The following is a 20,737-nucleotide window of genomic DNA, read 5'->3' as shown; positions in this document are numbered from 1 at the left end:
GTCTCAAAAACAAAACAAAACAAAACAAAAAACAAAAAAAGAAGCTTTTGCTCTGGAAGTTTGAAGAGGTAATTAGGAATTCTCATCAGTAGAGAATGCAGCTTTTGTTGCCGGTTCTGCAGCCATCTGATTGGGAATGAAGCTGAAATTCAGTGCCATTTTCTCATCATTGATGAGAGATACTCAGAATTGAGAACACTTTATGCTCTCTAAAGGGAGATATGTTGCTAGTGTAAATTACTATGCCTTTCTGTTATTGAATAATTGAACTACCTATAAAATGGGGAGAATCTTTTATCATGCAAATATTTTTATGAATTATGGATTAAGGATTATAGAATTGTATAATGAAATAGGGTAAGATTATAGATAATCAAAGGACAAGAGTGTGTACCTGGGGTACCACTATTTCAGTGTTTTGTGTTTTTTTTTTTACACAGGCTGAAGTGCATCATCATGGCTCACTGCAGCCTCAGCCTCCCAGGCTCAAGTGATCCTCCCACTTTAGCCTCCTGAGTAGCTGGGGCTACACTGCAGGTGTGCACCACCATGCCTGGATAATTTTTTGTATTTTTTGTACAGACACTGTTTTGCCCAGTCTGGTCTGAAACCCTTGGGCTCAAACGATCCTCCTTCCTCAGCCTCCCAAAGTGCTGGGATTATAGGCATGAGCCACTGCGCCCAGCCACTATTTCAGTTTTGAGTAATTCAGTGAATCCGAGGCTTTAAGGGACCTGAAGAGTCCTTGTTTCTGTCTTTCTGAGCAGTGGATACTCTGAGACTTAGCCACCACCTATATTCCTTTCAGTTGTGGTAAATTGCCCTGTGTTAGGGCATGCCATAGTTTGCATGAGGAATCTTGTCTTAAAGATTATAATTCAGGGCCAGGCTTGGTAGCTCACACCTGTAATCCCAGCACTTTGGGAGGCCGAGGCAGGTAGATCACTTGAGGTCAGGAGTTTGAGACCAGCCTGACCAACATAGTGACACCCTGTCATTACTAAAAATACAAAATTAGCTGGGCGTGGTGGTGCATGCCTGTAATCCCAGCTACTTGGGAGGTTGAGGGAAGAGAATCACTTGATTCTCTTGATCCACTGAGAGGTGGAGGTTGCAAGTCAAGATCGTGCCATTGCACTCCAGCCTAGCAACAAGAGTGAAACTCTGTCTCAATTTAAAATATAAAAACAGATTATGATTCTTTCTCTGTAGCATCAGTGGTAACAAAAGGTGTCTGAGTTCTCAACTCTTATTGTCATTTGGGGTCTGAGTGATTTATTTTCCAGCTGTGGAACACTTTTGCTAAAACAAAAAAAAAGAATCAGAAGTATTCAGTGCTGATTTATTTGCATGTGTAAAACAGACTGTTTTGGATTAATCAAATTTTGTAAGTTTAACAAAGATGATGCACTTTGTTTACTGCTGACCATTGTATTTGTGCCAATCATGATGTTATCATGCCAACATTTATTCCCTGAAAGTTTTTCCTTTCCTTCTTTTTCTTACCAGATACTCCATATCAAGAAGCAGAATGTCCTGAGTGTGGCAGCAGAAGGAGCGAATGTATGTCGCCATGGCAAACTGTGCTGGCTGCAGGTGAAAGATTTTTGAAAACTTTTTATTTTGAAGTAATTATAGAGCCACTGGTAGATTTTTTTCTTTCCTTCTTTTTGAAAACTGTATTTTAGAGATGGGATCTCACTCTGTCACTGAGGCCACAGTGCAGATCATAGATCACTGCAGCATTGAACTCCTGGGCTCATGCTGTCTATCCTCACTTTAGCCTCCTGAGTAGCTGGGACTACAGATGCATGTCACCACACCCAGCTTTGTTTTTTTGAGATGGGGTCTTGCTGTGTTGCCCAGGCTGATCTCAAACTCCTGGCCTCATGTAATCCTCTTGCTTTAGCCCCCCTAGTCACTGGGATTACAGGGATAGGCCACTGCACCTGGCTCACTGGTAGATTTATTAATTGTCTTCTTTCTGTCACCCTAGTGTCATTGTTGCATAACTTGTTGGAATGTTCTTCCTTCTCCTGGTACTCACTTTATTCTTTTCAAAAGGAGAGAGCTTCTGTCTCCTTATAGATTCACTTTGTTTTTTTTTTTAAGCTCAGTAGCAAGAATAGGTTCGCTGTTAAAGCCATTAGTGCTGTCTCTCGGGCTCTGCTGGAGGTCTTTCCCAGTTCTGTTCTATCACCTTAGTTCTATGAAGAGTGTCGTCTCTTTTCATTCTGGGGTGGTAGCTTTCCACAGCAGGTTTCTCACCACATCATTTTAGTTTCCCTGGACCTGGGAGATATTAAATGAGAGTCTCTATTATTATTACTATTATTATTATTATTTTGAGACAAAGTCTTGCTCTGTCACCAGGCTGGGGTGCAGTGGTGCATCTCGGCTCGCTGCAACCTCCGCCTCCTGGGTTCAAGCGGTTCTCCTGCCTCAGCCTCCTGGGTAGCTGGGACTATAGGCATGCGCCACCACACCTGGCTAATTTTGTGTTTTTAGTAGAGACGGGGTTTCACCATGTTGGCCAGGCTGGTCACAAACTCCTGATCTCAAGTGATCCACCCACCTCGGCCTCCCAAAGTACTAGGATTACAGACGTGAGCCACCACCCCTGGCCAATATTTTTTAAAAGTTTGTAGTTAGCCTTGAAGAATAGCTAGAGGATGGATAGCTTTTGGGTCCCTCTTCCTTTACTTTTTTTTTTTTTTTTTTTTTTTTCAGAGATGAGTTCTCCCTATATTGTCCAGGCTGGTCTCAAACTCCTGGTCTCAAGCAATCCTTCTGAGTCAGCCTAACCGCAAAGTGCTGGGGTTACAGGCATGAGCCACTGCAGCTAGCCAAGCTTAGCTTTTAGATGACTAGGTTTGAATTAGCAGCACAAATACAAATTACTTAAAACAACCCTAAACTTCCATCTACCAAAACAAAAGAGAGTAGACTTCCTGGTAACACAGGTCTGGGCAGTTCTAGGTTATTTCCTAAATTGTCCCCTTTGGTTTTCTGGGTATCAGAGGAACATGCAGTTGTCTACAGCTGTCCTTTCTTTTTGTTTTCTCTCTTTCTTTTTTTTTTTTTTTGAGGCAGGGTCTCGCTCTGTTGCATGGGCTGGAGTGCAGTGACACAATCTTGGCTCACTACAACCGCCGCCTCCCAGGTTCAAGCAATTCTTATGCCTCAGCCTCCTGAGTAGCTGGGATTACAGGCATGAGCCAACATGCCTGGCTAATTTTTGTCTTTTTAGTAGAGATGGGGTTTCACCATGTTGGCCAGGCTTGTCTCGAATTCCTGGCCTCAGGTGATCTGCCCACCTCAACCTCCCAAAGTGCTGGGATCTGGACTACAGCTGTCCTTTCTGCAACTGGAAGCAAATTAATGGACAGGTTTTCCCCAGCCAGATCCTTGGGCTTGTGTGTTTAATTTTTTAACTAAAAGCATCACGTGCACTTGTATTAAAAGCAAAAGAAAAAAATCAAATTTAAGAGAAAAAAAAACCCTCCACTCCACTTCAGAGGCACTACGTTTATTTTTTTTATTATTTTTTTTTTGAGATGAAATTTTGCTCTTGTCGCCTGGAGGCTGGAGTGTAGTGTCACGATCTCGGCTCACCACAACCTCCACCTCCCGGGTTCAAGAAATTCTCCTGCCTCAGCCTCTCCCGAGTAGCCGAGATTACAGGCATGTGCCACCACTCCCAGCTAATGTATTTTTAGTAGAGACAGGGTTTCTCCATTTTGGTCAGGCTGGTCTCGAACTCCCGACCTCAGGTGATCCACCCGCCTTGGCCTCCCATAGTGCTGGGATTACAGGCATGAGCCACCACACCCTGCCAGAGGCACTACTTTTTTTTGAGACGGAGTTTCACTCTGTCGCCCAGGCTAGAGTGCAATGGCACAATCTCAGCTCACTGCAACCTCTGCCTCCTAGGTTCAAGCGATTCTCCTGCCTCAGCCTCCCGAGTAGCTGGGACTACAGGCTCCCGCCACCACGCTCGGGTAATTTTTGTATTTTTAGTAGAGACGGGGTTTCACCACGTTGGCCAGGCTGGTCTCGAACTCCTTACCTCGTGATCTGCCCGCCTCGGCCTCCCAAAGTGCTGGGTGTGAGCCACCACACCTGGCGCAGAGGCACTACTTAAAAAAAAAAAAAAAAAAAAAAAAAGAGTTGAATAGGGCAGGCACAGTGGCTCATGCCTGTAATCCCAGCACTTTGGGAGGCTACGGTGGGCAGATCACAAGGTCAGGGGTTTGAGACTAGCCTGGCCAACGTGGTGAAACCCCGCCTCTACTAAAAATACAAAAATTAGCCAGGCGTGGTGGCGCATGCCTATAATCCTAGCTACTAATGGTGCTGAGGCAGGCGGATCACTTGGACCTGGGAGGAGGAGGTTTCAGTGAGCCGAGATTGTGCCACTGCACTCCAACCTGGGCAACAAAGCGAGACTCCTTCTCAAAAAAAAAAAAAAAAAAAAAGAATTGAATAACAGGATTGTTATATTTGTGCAGTACTTTACAGTTTACAAAATACTTTGACAAACATTAGGGGAGTCAACTACTTTTAACACATTGAAATGTAGTTTCTGCTATTTTCCTGTTTCTTTTTTTTTTTTTTTTTTTCGAGACAGGGTCTCTCTGTTGCCCAGGCTGGAGTGCAGTGGTGCAATCTCTTGGCTCACTGTACTGCATCTCTGCCTCTCAGGTTCAAGGTATTCTCCTGCCTCAGCCTCCCAAGTAGCTGGAATTACAGGCACTCACCTCTACGCCTGGCTAATTATTGTATTTTTAGTAGAGACAGGATTTTACCATGTTGGCCAGGCTGGTCTTGAACTTCTAACCTCAAGTGATCTGCCTGCCTTGGCTTCCCAAAGTGCTGGGATTACAGGCGTGAGCCACCACCCCTGGCCCGGATTTTCCTGTTTCTAATAACATGCTTATTGCTTTCTCTTGATTTATCAGTTTTACACATAATCTATTCAATTTTATTGTGATAAATAAAGATTTTGCTCCTTTATTGCACCCACTCTTCCCTAGGTCTTTCCAACTTAGTTATGTCACAATTTTTTACTAAGACAGAATTCAGAATTTATGGGAGGCTGAGGCAGGAGAATTGCTTGAACTTGAGAAGTGGAGGTTGCAGTGAGCCAAGATCATGCCCCTGCACTCCAGCTTGGGCCACAAATGAGACTCCATCTCAAAAAAAAAAAAAAAAAAAGACCAAATTTAGTCTATATGTTATTACGACTGTAATGATAACTCTCTGCTGAGTCAAGGAGAATCGTTTCTCTTCTTGAACAACTTTTTGTTTTACATAGAGTTAGTAATTGCCTCATTTTATTCCTCCCTCCCTCCCTCCCTTCCTCTCTTCCCTCCTTCTCTCCTTCCCTCCTTCCTTACTTTTTTGAGACGGGGTCTCACTCTGTTGCCCAAATGGGACTACAGGCACATCCCACCGTGATAGCTAACTTTTTGTATTTTTTGTGGAGACAGGGTTTCACCATGTTGCCCAGGCTGGTCTCAAACTCCCAGACTCAAGCAATCTACCCAGCTCAGCCTTCCAAATTGCTGGGATTACAGGCATGAGCCACTGCACCCAACCAACTTTGTTTTCTTTATACCTATGACTAAGCTGTTCCATATCTTTAAGGATGCCATACAGTTTTTTCACATGCTTAAATTTAGTGGGCTAGGGCCAAGCATGGTTTCTCATGCATGTGAGAGTGAGACCCTGTCTCAAAAAACAAACAAACAAACAAAAACACGATTCTGCCAACCTATGCTGCATTTTTGTCTTGAAGTCATCTCTCCTGGAGCCCTCTACCCTCCTGTTCCAATGCAGGCTGTTTTCTCAAGCCTGGAAGCTGCAAGATGCAGGGGCCAAGGGAAAATTTTCCCTTTGCCTTCTGTAGGTTTGCTGAAAACTTAACTCACAAAAAGGCAGATTAAGAGGAGAAAAGACACAACAAATTTAACGCGTACATGAGAACCTTCAGAACGAAGACTCAAAGATACACGGGTAATTGTCCATTTTTATGTTTAGGTTCAACAAAGTATGGACAGCTATGGAGAAATATGATTGAACAAAAAGATATGATCTAATGTTAATAGACTGACTGGGAAACCCAGCAAGGCCTGTCTGTCTAGATTCGTCTTGGCTCTCATAGCATGTATTTCTTCTTTCCTGGTATGTAGCGGGACCCTCTATAGAATGGGGATCTATGACCTACTGTCAAATAAGGTGGGTCAGATCATTTTTATGGCCCTTTTTTACATACAGAGGCAGAGGGAAAGTTTTATCTATATGTGTGTGTATGTGTATATGTGTATATATATATGTGTATGTATATATACAAGTACATACATTTTTTGAGATGGAGTCTCTGTTGCCCAGGCTGGAGTATAGTGGCTCCATCATGGCTCACTTCAGCCTTGAACTCCCGGGCTCAAGAGATCCTCCTGCCCCAGCCTCCCAAGTAGCTGGACTACTTGGGACTATAGGTGCATACTACCACACCTGGCTAATTTTTGTTTGTTTTTTGTTTTTGAGATGGAATCTTGCTCTGTTGCCAAGGCTGGAGTGCAGTGGCACCATCTTGGCTCACTGCAGCCTCCATCTCCTGGGTTCCAGCGATTCTCCTGCCTCAGCCTCCCCAGTAGCTGGGATTATAGGTGCCCACCACCATGCCCGGCTAATTTTTGCATTTTTAGTAGAGACAGGGTTTCACCATGTTGGCCAGGCTGGTCTTGAACTCCCAACCTCAGGTGATCCAACTGCCCTGACCTCCCAAAGTGCTGGGATTACAGGCGTGGGCCACCGTGCCTGGCTGATTTTTTTTTTTTTTTTTTTGAGACAGAGTCTTGCTGTGTCGCCCAGGCTGGGGTGCAGTGGCATGATCTCGGCTCACTGCAACCTCCGCCTCCCAGGTTCAAGCAATTCTCCTGCCTCAGCCTCCCGAGTAGCTGGGACTACAAGTGCATGCCACCATGCCTGGCTAATTTTTTTTGTATTTTAGTAGAGATGGGGTTGCACTGTGTTGCCCAGGCTGGTCTCAAACTCCTGAGCTCAAGTGATCCTCCTTCCTTGGCCTCCCAAAGTGCTGGGATTACAGGTGTGAGCCACCGCACCTGGCCTAGAGTAATATTTTTAGGGTTTTTTTTTTTTTTTTTTTTTTTTTTTTGAGGAGAAGTCTTGCTCTTTTGCCCAGGCTGGAGTGCAATGGCACGATCTTGGCTCACTGCAGCCTCCACCTCCTGGTTTCAAGCGATTCTCCTGTCTCAGGCTCCCAAGTACCTTGGATTACAGGAGTGTGCCACCACGCCCGGCTAATGTTTATATTTTTGGTAGAGACGGAGTTTCACCATGTTGGGCAGGCTGGTGTCGAACTCCTGAACTCAAGTGATCCACCCACCTCGGTCTCTCAAAGTGCTAGGATTACAGGTGTGAGCCACCACACCTGGCCTATTTTTAGGTTTTATGGCTGGCTTTGGGGAAACTGGGTTCTGGTTTCCGTGATCGCCTTCAGGGAGAATGATTCTAGTTTCTATGGCTAGCTTCAGGAAATAATGGGACCAAGAGACAGCAGGGCTGAAGGTCAGAGAAAAACTTTTACTTCTGAGGCTATTTCAGAGGCCTTTCTTTGCTTTGGGGTATTATTTTCTGAGTCTCAACAAAGGGAAGAGGGCTAGAAGCCCACAATTCAGTGTGCAGATTTTCATTTTTCAGGCCACTACTGAACTTCCACCCTCTTCTGTCTAAACATTGTCAACCCCAGAGCCTCTCTGGTTAGATTTATCCAGAGAATACATGATCTGTCCTCAGTGGGAGAGGAATGGGGGAGGATTACTTGGGGGGTTACGTCTCCTCATATAAACCTTCAGCCCATTCCCCTGTTTCCAGCTCCTCACTTTTCTTAGTATCTGGCACCTTTAATTCTTAAACCTTTATTTTTATTGTTTTGTTTTGCCTAATCTGCTTTCTTTCTGTCAGTATTTCCCACAGCATGTCTTAACTTTAAATTATTTAAATATTTAATCTTTATCTCTGGTCAGGTATCTTCACCATAGTTTATAGTACAGCAGATAATTATTTTCCAAACTTTTATACTGCATCTACTCAATTTTTATAATTAAAGTAGCAGGGGAAAACATCAGGGGTTCGCTTTTTTTTTTTTTTTTTTGAGACAGAGTCTTGCTCTGTCACCTAGGCTGGAGTGCAGTGGCACAATCTCAGCTAACTGCAAACTCTGCCTCCTGAGTTCCAGCGATTCTCGCGCCTCAGCCTCCTCAGTAGCTGGGGCTACAGGCACACACCACTGGGCCTGGCTAATTTTTGTGGTGTGGTGGCTAATGTCTGTAATTCCAATACTTTGGGAGGCTGAAGTGGGAGGATTGCTTGAAGCCAGGAGTTGGAGACCAGCCTGAGCAACTTAGTGAAACCCCGTCTCTACAAAAAACAAAAACATTAGCTGAGCATATAATATAATCCCAGGTACTCAGGAGGCTGAGGAGGGAGGATCTCTTGAGCCCCCAGGAGTTAGTTTTAGCCTGCAATAAGCTATGGCTGCGCCACTGCATTTCAGCCTGTGTGACAGAGCAAGACCATCTCAAATATATATATATGCTGGGTGCGGTGGCTCACACCTGTAATCCTAGCACTTTGGGAGGCTGAGGCGGGTAGATCACCTGAGCTCAAGAGTTCAAGGCCAGCCTGGGCAACATGGCAAAACCCTGTTTCTACTAAAAATACAAAAAATTAGCTGGACCTGGTGGCAAGTGCCTATTAATCCCAGCTACTCAGGAGGCTGAGGCACGAGAATTACTTGAACCCGGGAGGCAGAGGCTGCAGTGAGCCGAGATCACGCCACTGCAATCCAGCCTGGGCGACAGAGTGAGACTCTGTCTCAAAAAATAAAATTAAATTAAAAAAAATATATATATATATATATAATGAAAGTTCTGAGAATGGGTGCTAGGTAGGTCTGGCAATTGTAGCTATAACATAGTTCAGCTCCTGAAATGACAGAAGTGGCATCACACTGTCATATGCCTAGCTTTCTAGACCCATTTGGATGTTTTGTTTTAAATTTAAAATTCTTTTGTTTTTTGTACAGACAGGGGTCTTGCTTTGTTGCCCCAGCTAGTCTTGAACTCCTGGCCTTAAGCGATCCTCCCACCTCAGCCTCCCAATATGCTGAGATATAGACATGAGCCACACCACGCCTGGCGTTTGGATGTTTTTTGTCTTTACTCTCTTAGTAGATCATCCAGCTATGCTGCTTTTGTGATTTTTGTGATTAGAAGCAATCTTAGCTGGGCACGGTGACTCAGGCCTCTAATCCAAGCACTTTGGAAGGCCGAGGCAGGCGGATCACGAGGTCAGGGATTTGAGACCAGCCTGGCCAATATGGTGAAACCCTGTCTCTACTAAAAATATGAAAAATAACCAGGCATGGTGGTGGGCACCTGTAGTCCCAGCTACTCGGGAGGCTGAGACAGGAGAATTGCTTGAACCTAGGAGATGGAGGTTGCAGTGAGCCGAGATCGCACCACTGCACTCCAGCCTGGGTGACACAGCGAGACTCTGTCTCAAAAAAAAAAAAAAAAAAAAAATCTAGAATTCTTAAATTATATAAAATTGATCTGTAAGCAGCATTGAATATTTGACATCTTACCATTTGTGCCAGTGTATTTGTTGCCTGTTTTAAATTGCTAGAGGGTAGGGATCTTCTCTTATGAATAATTTTGTGTAACACCTAACAATCATGCATATTAAGGAACTCAGAGAAATAGCATTTCCAGTTGTTAATAATGAGATACTGTTCATTCACCTTAAAATGGTGTTCCCTGGAGTATTAGACTTATAGGGAAAAAAACTAAAAGTGCTCTTTTTTCCTATACTTTCTACTCAACACAGAACATTCTGGCCAGGCACAGTGGCTCATGCCTGTAATCCCAGCCCTTTGGGAGTCTGAGGCAGGCAGATCACCTGAGGTTAGGAGCTTGAGACCAGCCTGGCCAACATGGTGAAACCCTGTCTCTACTAAAAATACAAAAATTAGCCGGGTGTGGTGGCACGTACCTGTAACCCCAACTACTTGGGAGGCTAAGGCAGGAGAATTGCTGGAACCTGGGAGGTGGAGGTTGCAGTGAGCCGAGATCACACCACTGCACTTCAGCCTGGCGACAGAGCAAGACTCCATCTCAAAAAAAAAAAAATAGAACATTCTGTCACCCCAGATGTGTGGGGGTTGTTTCCTCACACATGAAGCAAAACAATTCTACTGCTACTCTCCAGTATACACCAGCTTAGTGTCCTCCAATTCAATTCTGAGACTGTTTACCTGGAAATAGTGTCAGACCCCACAGATTGAGGGCTCAGTCCCACAAGACTGCCCTCAACTTCAGGTGCCATTCACAAGCACAGCTTGTGACCTGTGCTTCTGACCAACCAACTATAAGTTGGAGTCCCCATGACCTCCCTTTTCTGGTTCAGTTAATTTGCTAGAGCAGCTCACAGAACTCAGAGAAACATTTTACTTACATTTACTCATTTATTATTATCATTATTTTGAGACAGAGTCTTGCTCTTTCTTGCTCAGGCTGGAGTGCAGTGGCGAGTATCTCAGCTCACTGCAACCTCTGCCTTCCAGGCTCAAGCAGTTCTCCTGTCTCAGCCTCCCGACTAGCTGGGACTACAGGTGCACACCACCACGCCCAACTAATTTTTGTATTTTTAGTAGAGATAGGATTTTGTCATATTGGTCAGGCTGGTCTCGAACAGCTGACCTCAGGTGATCCACCCACCTCAGCCTCCCAAGGTGCTAAGATTACAGGCATGAGCCACTGCACTCGGCCTACTCATTTATTATTTTAAAGAATATTACAAGTCCAGGTGTGGTGGCTCACACATGTACTTCTAGCGCTTAGGGAGGCCGAGGCAGGCGGATCACTTGAGCTCCGGAGTTGGAGACTAACCTGGGCAACATGGTGAAACAAACCCTATCTCTAAACAAAATACAAAAAAATTAGCCAAGTGTAGTGTTGCACGCCTGTAGTCCCAGCTACTTGGGAGGCTGAGGCAGGAGAATCACTTGAAGCCAGAAGGCAGAGGTTGCAGTGAGCTGATATGGTGCCACTGTACTCCAGCCTGGGTGACAGAGCCAGACTCTGTCTCAAAAAAATATATCTGTATATATATTATATATATCATATATATATGATATATATACAGATCATATATATGACATATTATATATATCATATATTGACATATATCTATATATGACATATATAATATATATGACATTATATAATATATGACATATATATCATATATGTATCATATATAATATATGACATATATATCATATATAATATATCATATATATGATATATGTAATATATCTCATATATATGATATATATAATGTGTATATCATATATATGATATATATTTTATATATGTAACACCTAACACAATATATATAATATATAATATATATAAAACAAATTATATGTATATGTATATGAAACAAAGGATACAGATAAACTCTTAGATGGAAGAGATATATAGGGCAAGGTATGGGGGAAGGGGTGCACCACCCACCCCCTCCAGGAACCTGCTCAGCTATCCAGAGGTGCTGTGAATTTAGGCCTTTTGTGTTTTTTTTTTTGAAAGACTCTTAAAAATTAATACAAGAAAAAAAAGGGGCCCAACATGGTGGTGCATGCCTGTAATCCCAGCACTTTGAGAGGCTGAGACGGGTGGATCACTTGTGTTGAAGAATTCAAGATCAGCCTTGGCAACATAGGGAGACCCCATCTCCATATTAAAAAAAAATTTTTGGCCAGGTGTGGTAGCTCATGCCTGTAATCCCAAGGAGGCCAAGGCAGGCGGATCACCTGAGGTCAGGAGTTCACGACCAGCCTGGTCAACATGGTAAAATCCCGTCTCTACTAAAAATACAAAATTAGCTGGGTGTGTTGGCGTGCACCTGTAATCCCAGCTACTTGGGAGGCTGAGGCAGGAGAATTGCTCCCAGGAGGCAGAGGTTGCAGTGAGCCGAGATCATGCCATTGCACTCCAGCCTGGGCAACAGATTAAGACTCAATCTCCAAAAAAGAAAAAAGGCCATGTGTGGTGGCTCACGCCTGTAATCCCAGTACTTTGGGAGGCCTAGGTGAGTGGATCACCAAACCTAGTCCCTACTAAAAATGCAACAAATTACCCGGGCGTGGTGGCAGGCACCTGTAATCCCAGCTACTTGAGAGGCTGAGGCAGGAGAATCACTTGAACCCGGGAGGCAGAGGTTTCAGTGAGCCGAGATTGTACCATTGCACTGCAGCCTGGGCAACAAGAACGAAACTCTGTCTTAAAAAAAAAAAAAATTTTTTTTAATTAAAAAATAAAAAGAGAGTCTATTTCTGTCACCTAGGCTAGAGTGCAGTGGTGCAAACACGGCTCACTGCAACCTGGAGCTCCTAGGCTCAAGTGATCCTCCCACCTCAGCCTCCCGAGTAGCTGGGACCACAGGTGCACCACCATGCTCAGCTGATTTTTAAATTTTTTGTACAGATGGGGTGTCCATAAGTTTTCCAGGTGGTCTTGAACTCCTGGGTTCAAGAGATCCTCCTACCTTGGCCTCCCAAAGTGCTTACGATTACAGGTGTGAGCCACCTTGCCCAGCCTCCCTTTGGGGTTTTTAATGGAGGCTTCATTATGTAGGCATAAATGATTAAGTCATTGGCCATTCGTGATCAACTTACCCTTCAGCCCCTTTCTCCTCCCTGGAGGTTGGATAGTGGGGATGAAAGTCCCAGCCCTCTAATCATGGGTTTGTCTTTCCTGTGACTAGTGCCTGTCCTGAAACTCTGGGAGCATCTAGGAGCCCCCAGGCACCAGTCATCCCATTAATACACAAAAAACACTCTTATCACTCACTTTCAAGATTCCAAGGGTTTTAGGAGCTATATTTCAGGAAATCAGAAGGAAGACCAAATATTTAGTTCACAATTAGAATGCCATAGATGAGACTGGTAAAATTTCTTTATTTCTTTATTTTTATTTTTTTTGAGACAAAGTCTCACTCTTGTCCTCCAGGCTGGAGTGCGATGGCGCAATCTTGGTTCATTGCAACCTCTGCCTCCAGGGTTCAAGCGATTCTCCTGCCTCGGCCCCCCAAGTAGCTGGGATTACAGGCTCCAGCACTTTGGGAGGCCAACGTGGGTGGATCACCTGAGGTCAGGAGTTCGAGACCAGCCTGGCCAACATAGTGAAACCCCATCTCTATTAAAATATACAAAAAATTAGCCAGGTGTGGTGGCGGGTCCCTGTAATCCCAGCTACTCAGGAGGCAGGAGAATCACTTGAACCTGGGAGGCAGAGGTTGTAGTGAGCCAAGATCCAGCCTGGGCAACAGGAGTGAAACTGTCTCAAAAAAAAAAGGGAAAGTCTCTTTCACCAGCTTGTCCTTTTCTTTGCTTTTGAAAATCACAATGATTGTGTCTTACTTTTTTTACTTAAGAACAAATTTTACCTGTTTTCTCCAAGAATCAAGTACCTATCATTGGCCGGGCGTGGTGGCTCATGCCTGTAATCCCAGCGCTTTGGGAGGCCGAGATGGGTGGAGGTCAGGAGATCGAGACCATCCTGGCTAACATAGTGAAACCTCATGTCTACTAAAAATACAAAAAGAAAAACAATTAGCAGGGCATGGTGGCAGGTGCCTTTAGTCCCAGCTACTCAGGAGGCTGAGGCAGGAGAATGGCGAGAACCCGGACAGCAGAGGTTGCAGTGAGTCGAGATCGTGCCACTGCCCTCCAGCCTGGGCGACAGAGCAAGACTCCGTCTCAAAAAAAAAAAAAAAAGAAAAAAGAAAATCACAGTGATTGTGTCTTACTTTTTTTACTTAAGAACAAATTATACCTGTTTTCTCTAAGAATCAAGTACCTATCATTTAAAAGTGAAGATGTGGTGGGGCCTGGTGGCTCACGCCTGTAATCCCAGCATTTTGGAAGGCCAAGGCAGGCAGATTGCTTTAGCCTAGGAGTTTGAAACCAGCCTGGGCAACATGGCAAAGCCCAGTCTCTACAAAAAATACAAAAATTAGCTGGGCGTGGTGGTGGGTGCCTGTAATCCAGGTACTTGGGAGGCTGAGGTGGGAGAATCACAAGAGCCTGGGTGGTTGAATTTGCAGTGAGCCAAGATAAAGCCACTGTTGTCCAGCCCGGGTGACAGAGCAAGGCCCTGTCTCAAAAAAAATAAAGTTTTGGGAGGCTGATACGGGTGGATCATTTGAGGTCAGGAGTTTGAGACCAGCCTGGCCAACATGGTGAAACCCCATGTCTACAAAAAATAAAAAAAATTGGCCAGGTGCAGTGGCTCATGCCTGTAATCCCAGCACTTTGGGAGGCCGAGGTGTGTAGATCACCTGAGGTCAGGAGTTCGAGACCAGCCTGGCCAATATGGTGAAACCCTTTCTCACTGGACATGGACGCTCACACATGTAATCCCAGCACTTTGGGAGGCCAAGGCGGGTGGATCATGAGGTCAAGAGATTGAGACCATCCTGGCCAACATGGTGAAACCCCTTCTCTACTAAAAATAACAAAACTTAGCTGGGCATGGTGGCGTGCACCTGTAATCCCAGCTACTTGGGAGGCTGAGACAGGAGAATTGCTTGAACCCAGGAGGCAGAGGCTGCAGTGAGCCAAGATCGCGCCACTGCACTCCAGCCCAGGTGACAGAGCAAGACTCTGTCTCAAAAAAAAAAAAAAAAAAAAAATTAGCTGGGCGTGGTGCCGCATGCCTGTAATCACAGCTATCAGGAGGCCGAGGCAGGAGAATTGCTTGAACTCAGGAGGCAGAGGTTGCAGTGAGCCGTGATTGTGCCACTGCACTCCAGCCTGGGCAACAGAGTGAAACTTTGTCTCTAAATAAATAAATAAATAAAGTGAAGATGTTAGATATTTTATCACGTCTTTTACTCTTCATCCTCAAATTTCCCTTCCTCAGTTCTTTCTTATCCTATGGTATGTGTGTCTGGATGGTCTATTGTAGGTGGCCACAAATTGCCGAGTTTACTTATTTGACATTTTCCTTCTGGGAAGTCGAGCTTTCCACAATGGACTTCAGATGATACTAGAAGACAAGAGAATTTTGAAGGTAAGTATATAAACTGATTCCTGTGCTATTAAGATTAGCAGCCAGGTTCTAATGACTGTTTCCTTCTGATTCCTTAGGTTATCCATGATTGTCGTTGGCTTTCTGATTGCCTCTCTCATCAGTATGGAATTTTGCTGAATAATGTCTTTGACACACAGGTACATGAAGGGAAGCACTGGATTCAAACCAGTATATACAGCTCCTGTAGATAAAAGGGCTCATCTGGTCATCTGATGAGTGAAAGTCTTTTTAATTTTTTTTTTTTTTTTGGTGCTCCATTTCTGCTCACTTTTCATGTAAAATGTTTGTACAATATGTGAGAACATTTGGTGTTCTATAAAAGCACTGCAGTAAAGTTGCTTAAAATTATTTATAAAGATGTTTTCCTCATTTTGCTCCAGAATTTGTCAAAGAAGCAAGATTCAGACTCCATAGCATTCAGAAACTTGAGCAATTTAGGGATCATTCAGAAGCCTGACATGGGAGACATAGCATGAGATGAACAATCACATATCTGCCTCTACCACATATGTGACAATTAAGGCAAGCTGACATCTAGTTTAGGGGTACAGGTCGTCCTGCATATGCCCCCCAAATCTATGTGGGCCCAAACAGCCTGAAGTGATATAATTTGTCTGTCCTCTAGGGGACCTTAGATAAATGAGAAAGCCCTAGATTCTACCAGCATTATTGTTGTTGTTATTATTATTTAGAAGTGGAGTCTTACTGTGTTGCCCAGGCTAGTCTCAAGCCCTTACTCTCAAGCCATCCTCCTGCCTCAGCCACCCAAGTAAAGGCATGAACCTCTACTAGCTCTTAGAGCTGATCTGGGTTTCTGGTTTGGCTGTGAGAGCAGTAAAACCACTAGTTTCATTATGTTTTCTTCAGGTTCTTCTAGTCTTTTAGGTTTATGATAGTAAAAGGGAAATCTTGATTACACAAGCTTAGAGCCTTTGGAGAGAAACTGAACTAATAAGTTGGCCAATTATTTTTGAGCAGCAATCTCTAAAAGTTCAATTTTATGTTACTATATTTGGTTCACTTTTTCTGTTTATGTATCTACTTATAATGTATTTGCTGCCATTTGTAGAGATTGCTTTTATGCTTACTCCAAAATCTAACATAATTGCTGTTTGTTTCCTTGAGGCCATTAGGCTTCTTGATTAGATCTTATACGTATTGTCTAATGAAGACCTTGGCATATCTGTTCATGTTTTTCTTTTTAGAGTTACATAGTCCAAGAAGCAGAATTTTCACCAATTTCTTTTTCTATAACAGTGTATTAGTTTCTTATTGCTGCTGTAACAAATCACCACAAATTTAGTGGCCTAAAACAATGCAAATTTATTATTTTATTGTTTTAGGGTCAGAAGTCTTGAATCATTTTCACTAGGCTAAAGTCAAGGTGTCTTGCAGGGCTGATTTCTTCTAGAGGCTCTTCTGAAGAGAGAGTTTCCTTGCCTTTTTCAGCTTCTAGTGGCCACTTGTATTCCTTGGCTTGTAGCCCCTTCCTCCATTTTCAAAGTGCATCACTGTAATCCCTGCTTCCATCATCACATCACCTTCTCCTCTGACTGTAGTAAAATCTCCGTCTGCCTTGCTGTTAAAAAAATCACTTTTCAGGCCCGGCACGGTGGCTCACACCTGTAATCCCAACACTTTGGGAGGCCAAGGTGGGCAGATCACGAGTTCAGGAGATTGAGACCATCCTGGCTAACATGGTGAAACCCTGTCTCTACTAAAAATACAAAAAATTAGCCGGGCATGGTGGCAGGCGCCTGTAGTCCCAGCTACTCGGGAGGCTGAGGCAGGAGAATGGTGTGAACCTGGGAGTCAGAGCTTGCAGTAAGCTAAGATTGCACCACTGCACTCCAGCCTGGGAGAGAGAGCAAGACTCCGTCTCACCAAAAAAAAAAAAAAAAAAAAAAAAAAATCACTTGTCATTCCATTTAGGGCCTACCTGGGTAATTCAGGATAATCTCATCTCAAAATCCTTAACTTAATCACAGCTGCAAAGTCCCTTTTGCATGTAAGATACAGGTTCCTGTGGTTATGAAGAAGTTATCTTTGGGGGCCATTGGCCAGCCTACCACATATAGATAAATAATTATAATTATTTATTTTATTAGCTTTTCTTACAAAATTTTCTTGGTTACCAGTAGATAATAAAAGTAATTTTTTTTTTTTGAGACAAGGTCTGGCTCTGTTGCCCAGGCTGGAGTGAAGTGGCATGATCATAGCTCTCTGCTAATGTGGCCTCGAAGTCCTGGGCTCAAGCCATCCTTCCACTTCAGCCTCCCAAGTAGCTGGGACTACAGGTACACACCACCATGCCTGGCTGATTTTTAAAATTTTTTTAAGATATGGGGTCTCTCTATATTGTCCAGGCTGGTCTTGAACTCCCGACCTCAAACAGTCTTCTAGCCTTGGCTTCCAAAGTGCTGGGATTACAGGTGTGAGCCAACATGCCAGGCCCATTTTTTTCCCCCCCAGAAACGGAGTCTCACTATGTTGCCCATGCTGGCATCGAACTCCTGAGCTCAGGAGATCCTGCTGGTTCAGCTCCCGACTAGCTGGCACTATAGGAATGCATTCTCAGCCCACTAAAAATAATTCTTGAATTTTATCTTCCTTTCTTGATTCCCTAAAGGGTAACAAAGACTAATAAATAACCATAAGGCAGGTAGGTATTATAACACAAGGAGAAAATAAAAACATTAGGTGCAGTGGCTCACGCCTGTAATCCCAACACTTTGGGAGGCCGAGACAGGAGGATTGCTTGAGCCCAGGAATTCGAGATCAGCCCGAACAACGTAGTGAGACACTGTCTCTACAAAAAAATTTTAAGAGGCCGGGCGCGGTGGCTCACACTTGTAATCCCAGCACTTTGGGAGGGCGAGGCGGACGGATCACAAGGTCAGGAGATCGAGAGCACGGTGAAACCCTGTCTGTACTAAAAATACAAAAAATTAGCTGGGCGTGGTGGCGGGCGCCTGTAGTCCCAGCTACTTGGAGAGGCTGAGGCAGGAGAATGGCGTGAACCCGGGAGGCGGAGCTTGCAGTGAGCCGAGATCGCGCCACAGCACTCCCGCCTGGGCGACAGAACGAGACTCCGTCTCAAAAAAAAAAAAAAAAAAAAAAATCTTAAGAATACTAGCCAGGCATAGTGGGATGTGCCTGTAGTCCTAGCTACTCGAGGCTGAGGTGGGAAGATCCCTTGAACTTGGAAGATTGAGGCTGCAGTAAGCCATGATTGTGGCGTTGTACTCCATCCTGGGAGATAGAGCAAGACCCTATCTCAAAAAAAAAAAAAAAAAAAAAAAAAAAAAAAAAAAAAATGCCTGGCGCAGTGGTTCACGCCTGTAATCCCAACACTTCGGGAGCCCAAGGCGGGCGGATCACGAGGTCAAGAGATCGAGACTATCCTGGCCAACATGGTGAAACCCTGTCTGCACTAACAATATGAAAATTAGCCAGGCATGGTGGCACACACCTGTAATCACAGCTACTCGGGAGGCTGAGGCAGGATAATTGCTTGAATCCGGGAGGTGGAGGTTGCAATGAGCCAAGATCACACCATTGCACTCCAGCTCTGGGCGACAGAGGAAGACTGCCTCAGGAAAAGAAAAGAAAAAAGAAAGTAGTTAAGGAAACGCAAAGTTGGGTTGCTGGGTGTGATGGGTTGTGTCTGTAGTCATGGTTACTATGGAGGCTGTAGTGGGAGGATTGCTTGAGCTAAGGAGTTTTGGACTGTAGGGCGCTGTGCTGATTGGGTGCCTGTACTGAGATTGGCATCAATGTGGTGGCCTCCCAGGAGCGGGGAGAACCACCAGGTTGCCTAAGGGAGGGTGAACGAGTCCAGATCAGACATGGAACAGGTCAGAACCTCCGTGCTCATCAGTAGTGGAATCCTGCCTGTGAATAGCCACTGCACTCCAGCCTGGACGACATAGTAAGACCCTGTCTCTTAAAAAAAAAAAAGTTGAAAATTAGCCAGGCGTGGTAGCCTGCACCTGTAGTCCCAGCTACTCGGGTGGCTGAGGCAGGAGAATTACTTGAACCTGGGAAGTGGAGGTTGCAGTGAGCTGAGATCATGCCACTGCACTCCAGCCTGAGCGACAGAGCGAGACTCCACCTCAAAAAAAAAAATTGAGCTTTTATTCCGTTTTTTTTTTCTCATTTTTCAGAATAAGTTGGCTGAACAACTTTAAATTTTCCGATGACATGGTCTATCGTGTGGGTCCTTGGGGAAAATGTTATTTAGACATTTCTCTAAATATATTTCTGGCATGAGATAGCTCTCTGTATATATTCAACTGGTCTGTTTGTCTTTTTAAAATACCACAGGTAGCAGATGTACTTCAGTTTTCCATGGAAACGGGTGGCTATCTTCCAAACTGCATCACTACTTTGCAGGAGAGTTTAATCAAACACCTTCAAGTAGCCCCTAAATATCTCTCCTTTCTAGAAAAGAGACAAAAACTAATTCAGGTGGGTGTAAAGGATGTCCTGTATGACATTATTTTTTTTCAAGTGTTTTCTGAGCAGTATTATCAGCCTGTTATGTAGAAAAATGACAGCTGCCATGTTATCATATGAACATTGCCAAAATCTTAACTGTACCAAATGGGAATGGTTTATATCTGGTCTCAAGTGGATAAAAGCCAGGATCCAGATTTGTTAGCTATTAATTAAAAAGCAGTCTTAGGCCGGGCTCGGTGGCTCACGCCTATAATCCCAACACTTTGGGAGGCTGAGGCGGGCGGATCACCTGAGGTCAGGAGTTCAAGACCAGCCTGACTAACATGGTGAAATCTCCTCTACTAAAAATACAAAAATTAACTGGGCATGGTGGCAGGTGTCTGTAGTCTCAGCTACTCGGGAGGCTGAGGCAGGAGAATCGCTTGAACTTGGAGTTGGGGGCAGGGGCGGTGGACATTGCGGTGAGCTGAGATCGTGCCACTGCACTCCAGCCTGGGCAACAGAGTGAGACTCTGTCTCAAAAAATAATAAATAAATAAATAAATAAATAAACAAATAAGCACTCTTAAATAAATTTTCTAGCTGGGACAAGGGGGAAATTTTTGTGAGAATTTTGATCAAGGCAATGGAACCAAAATCACCCTAGTTATTTCTCCCAAAGTAAAGTAAATTTTCTTTACCTTCTGACATCCTTGCATGCAAACTTAGGTCATAATTGTATTGGCTGCAATTCTGTTCACATAATCAAGTTTGCTGCCTCTAGCTTTGAGAAGTCTTGATTGACCAACCTCTACCCCTCTCTTTCTCTGTTACACACACACTGTTAATGTAGGAGTATGTGTGCAAGCATGTGTATGCTCAAAGGCTATCAATAGTGTGAAAATAGAAGGTAATAATAGAAGAAAATGATAGTGTCTTAAATTAAGCAATACTTTAAACAGTTCTTTTCTTTTCTTTTTTTTTCTTTTTTTGAGACGGAGTCTCGCTCTGTCACCAGGCTGGAGTGCAGTGGCGCAATCTCAGCTTACTGCAACCCTGCAAGCTCCGCCTCCCAGGTTTAAGCGATTCTCCTGCCTCAGCTTCTTGAGTAG

General features: G+C 44.2%; 1 protein-coding gene and 1 pseudogene across 12 annotated transcripts in view; both read left to right on the top strand.

Moving 5' to 3' along the window:
• EXD1 (exonuclease 3'-5' domain containing 1) overlaps positions 1-20,737 on the top strand; it is a 48,030-nt gene that overhangs the window by 19,661 nt on the left and 7,632 nt on the right. For 11 of the 12 annotated variants that reach the window (XM_047432210.1, XM_011521301.3, XM_011521298.3 and 8 more), the window contains 4 exons: positions 1,510-1,596; positions 15,060-15,164; positions 15,242-15,322; positions 19,512-19,655. In XM_047432210.1, coding sequence (XP_047288166.1) covers positions 1,510-1,596; positions 15,060-15,164; positions 15,242-15,322; positions 19,512-19,655 — 417 coding nt within the window. Of the gene's footprint in view, positions 1-1,509; positions 1,597-5,911; positions 6,019-15,059; positions 15,165-15,241; positions 15,323-19,511; positions 19,656-20,737 lie in introns of those variants that run through there. The other variant, XM_011521302.3, reaches the window with a different exon arrangement.
• RN7SL497P (RNA, 7SL, cytoplasmic 497, pseudogene) lies at positions 18,832-19,132 on the top strand (annotated as a pseudogene).

Source organism: Homo sapiens, chromosome 15 (genome assembly GCF_000001405.40).
Source record: "Homo sapiens chromosome 15, GRCh38.p14 Primary Assembly".
NCBI lineage: Eukaryota > Metazoa > Chordata > Mammalia > Primates > Hominidae > Homo > Homo sapiens.
This window is presented reverse-complemented; position numbering and strand designations above follow the sequence as displayed.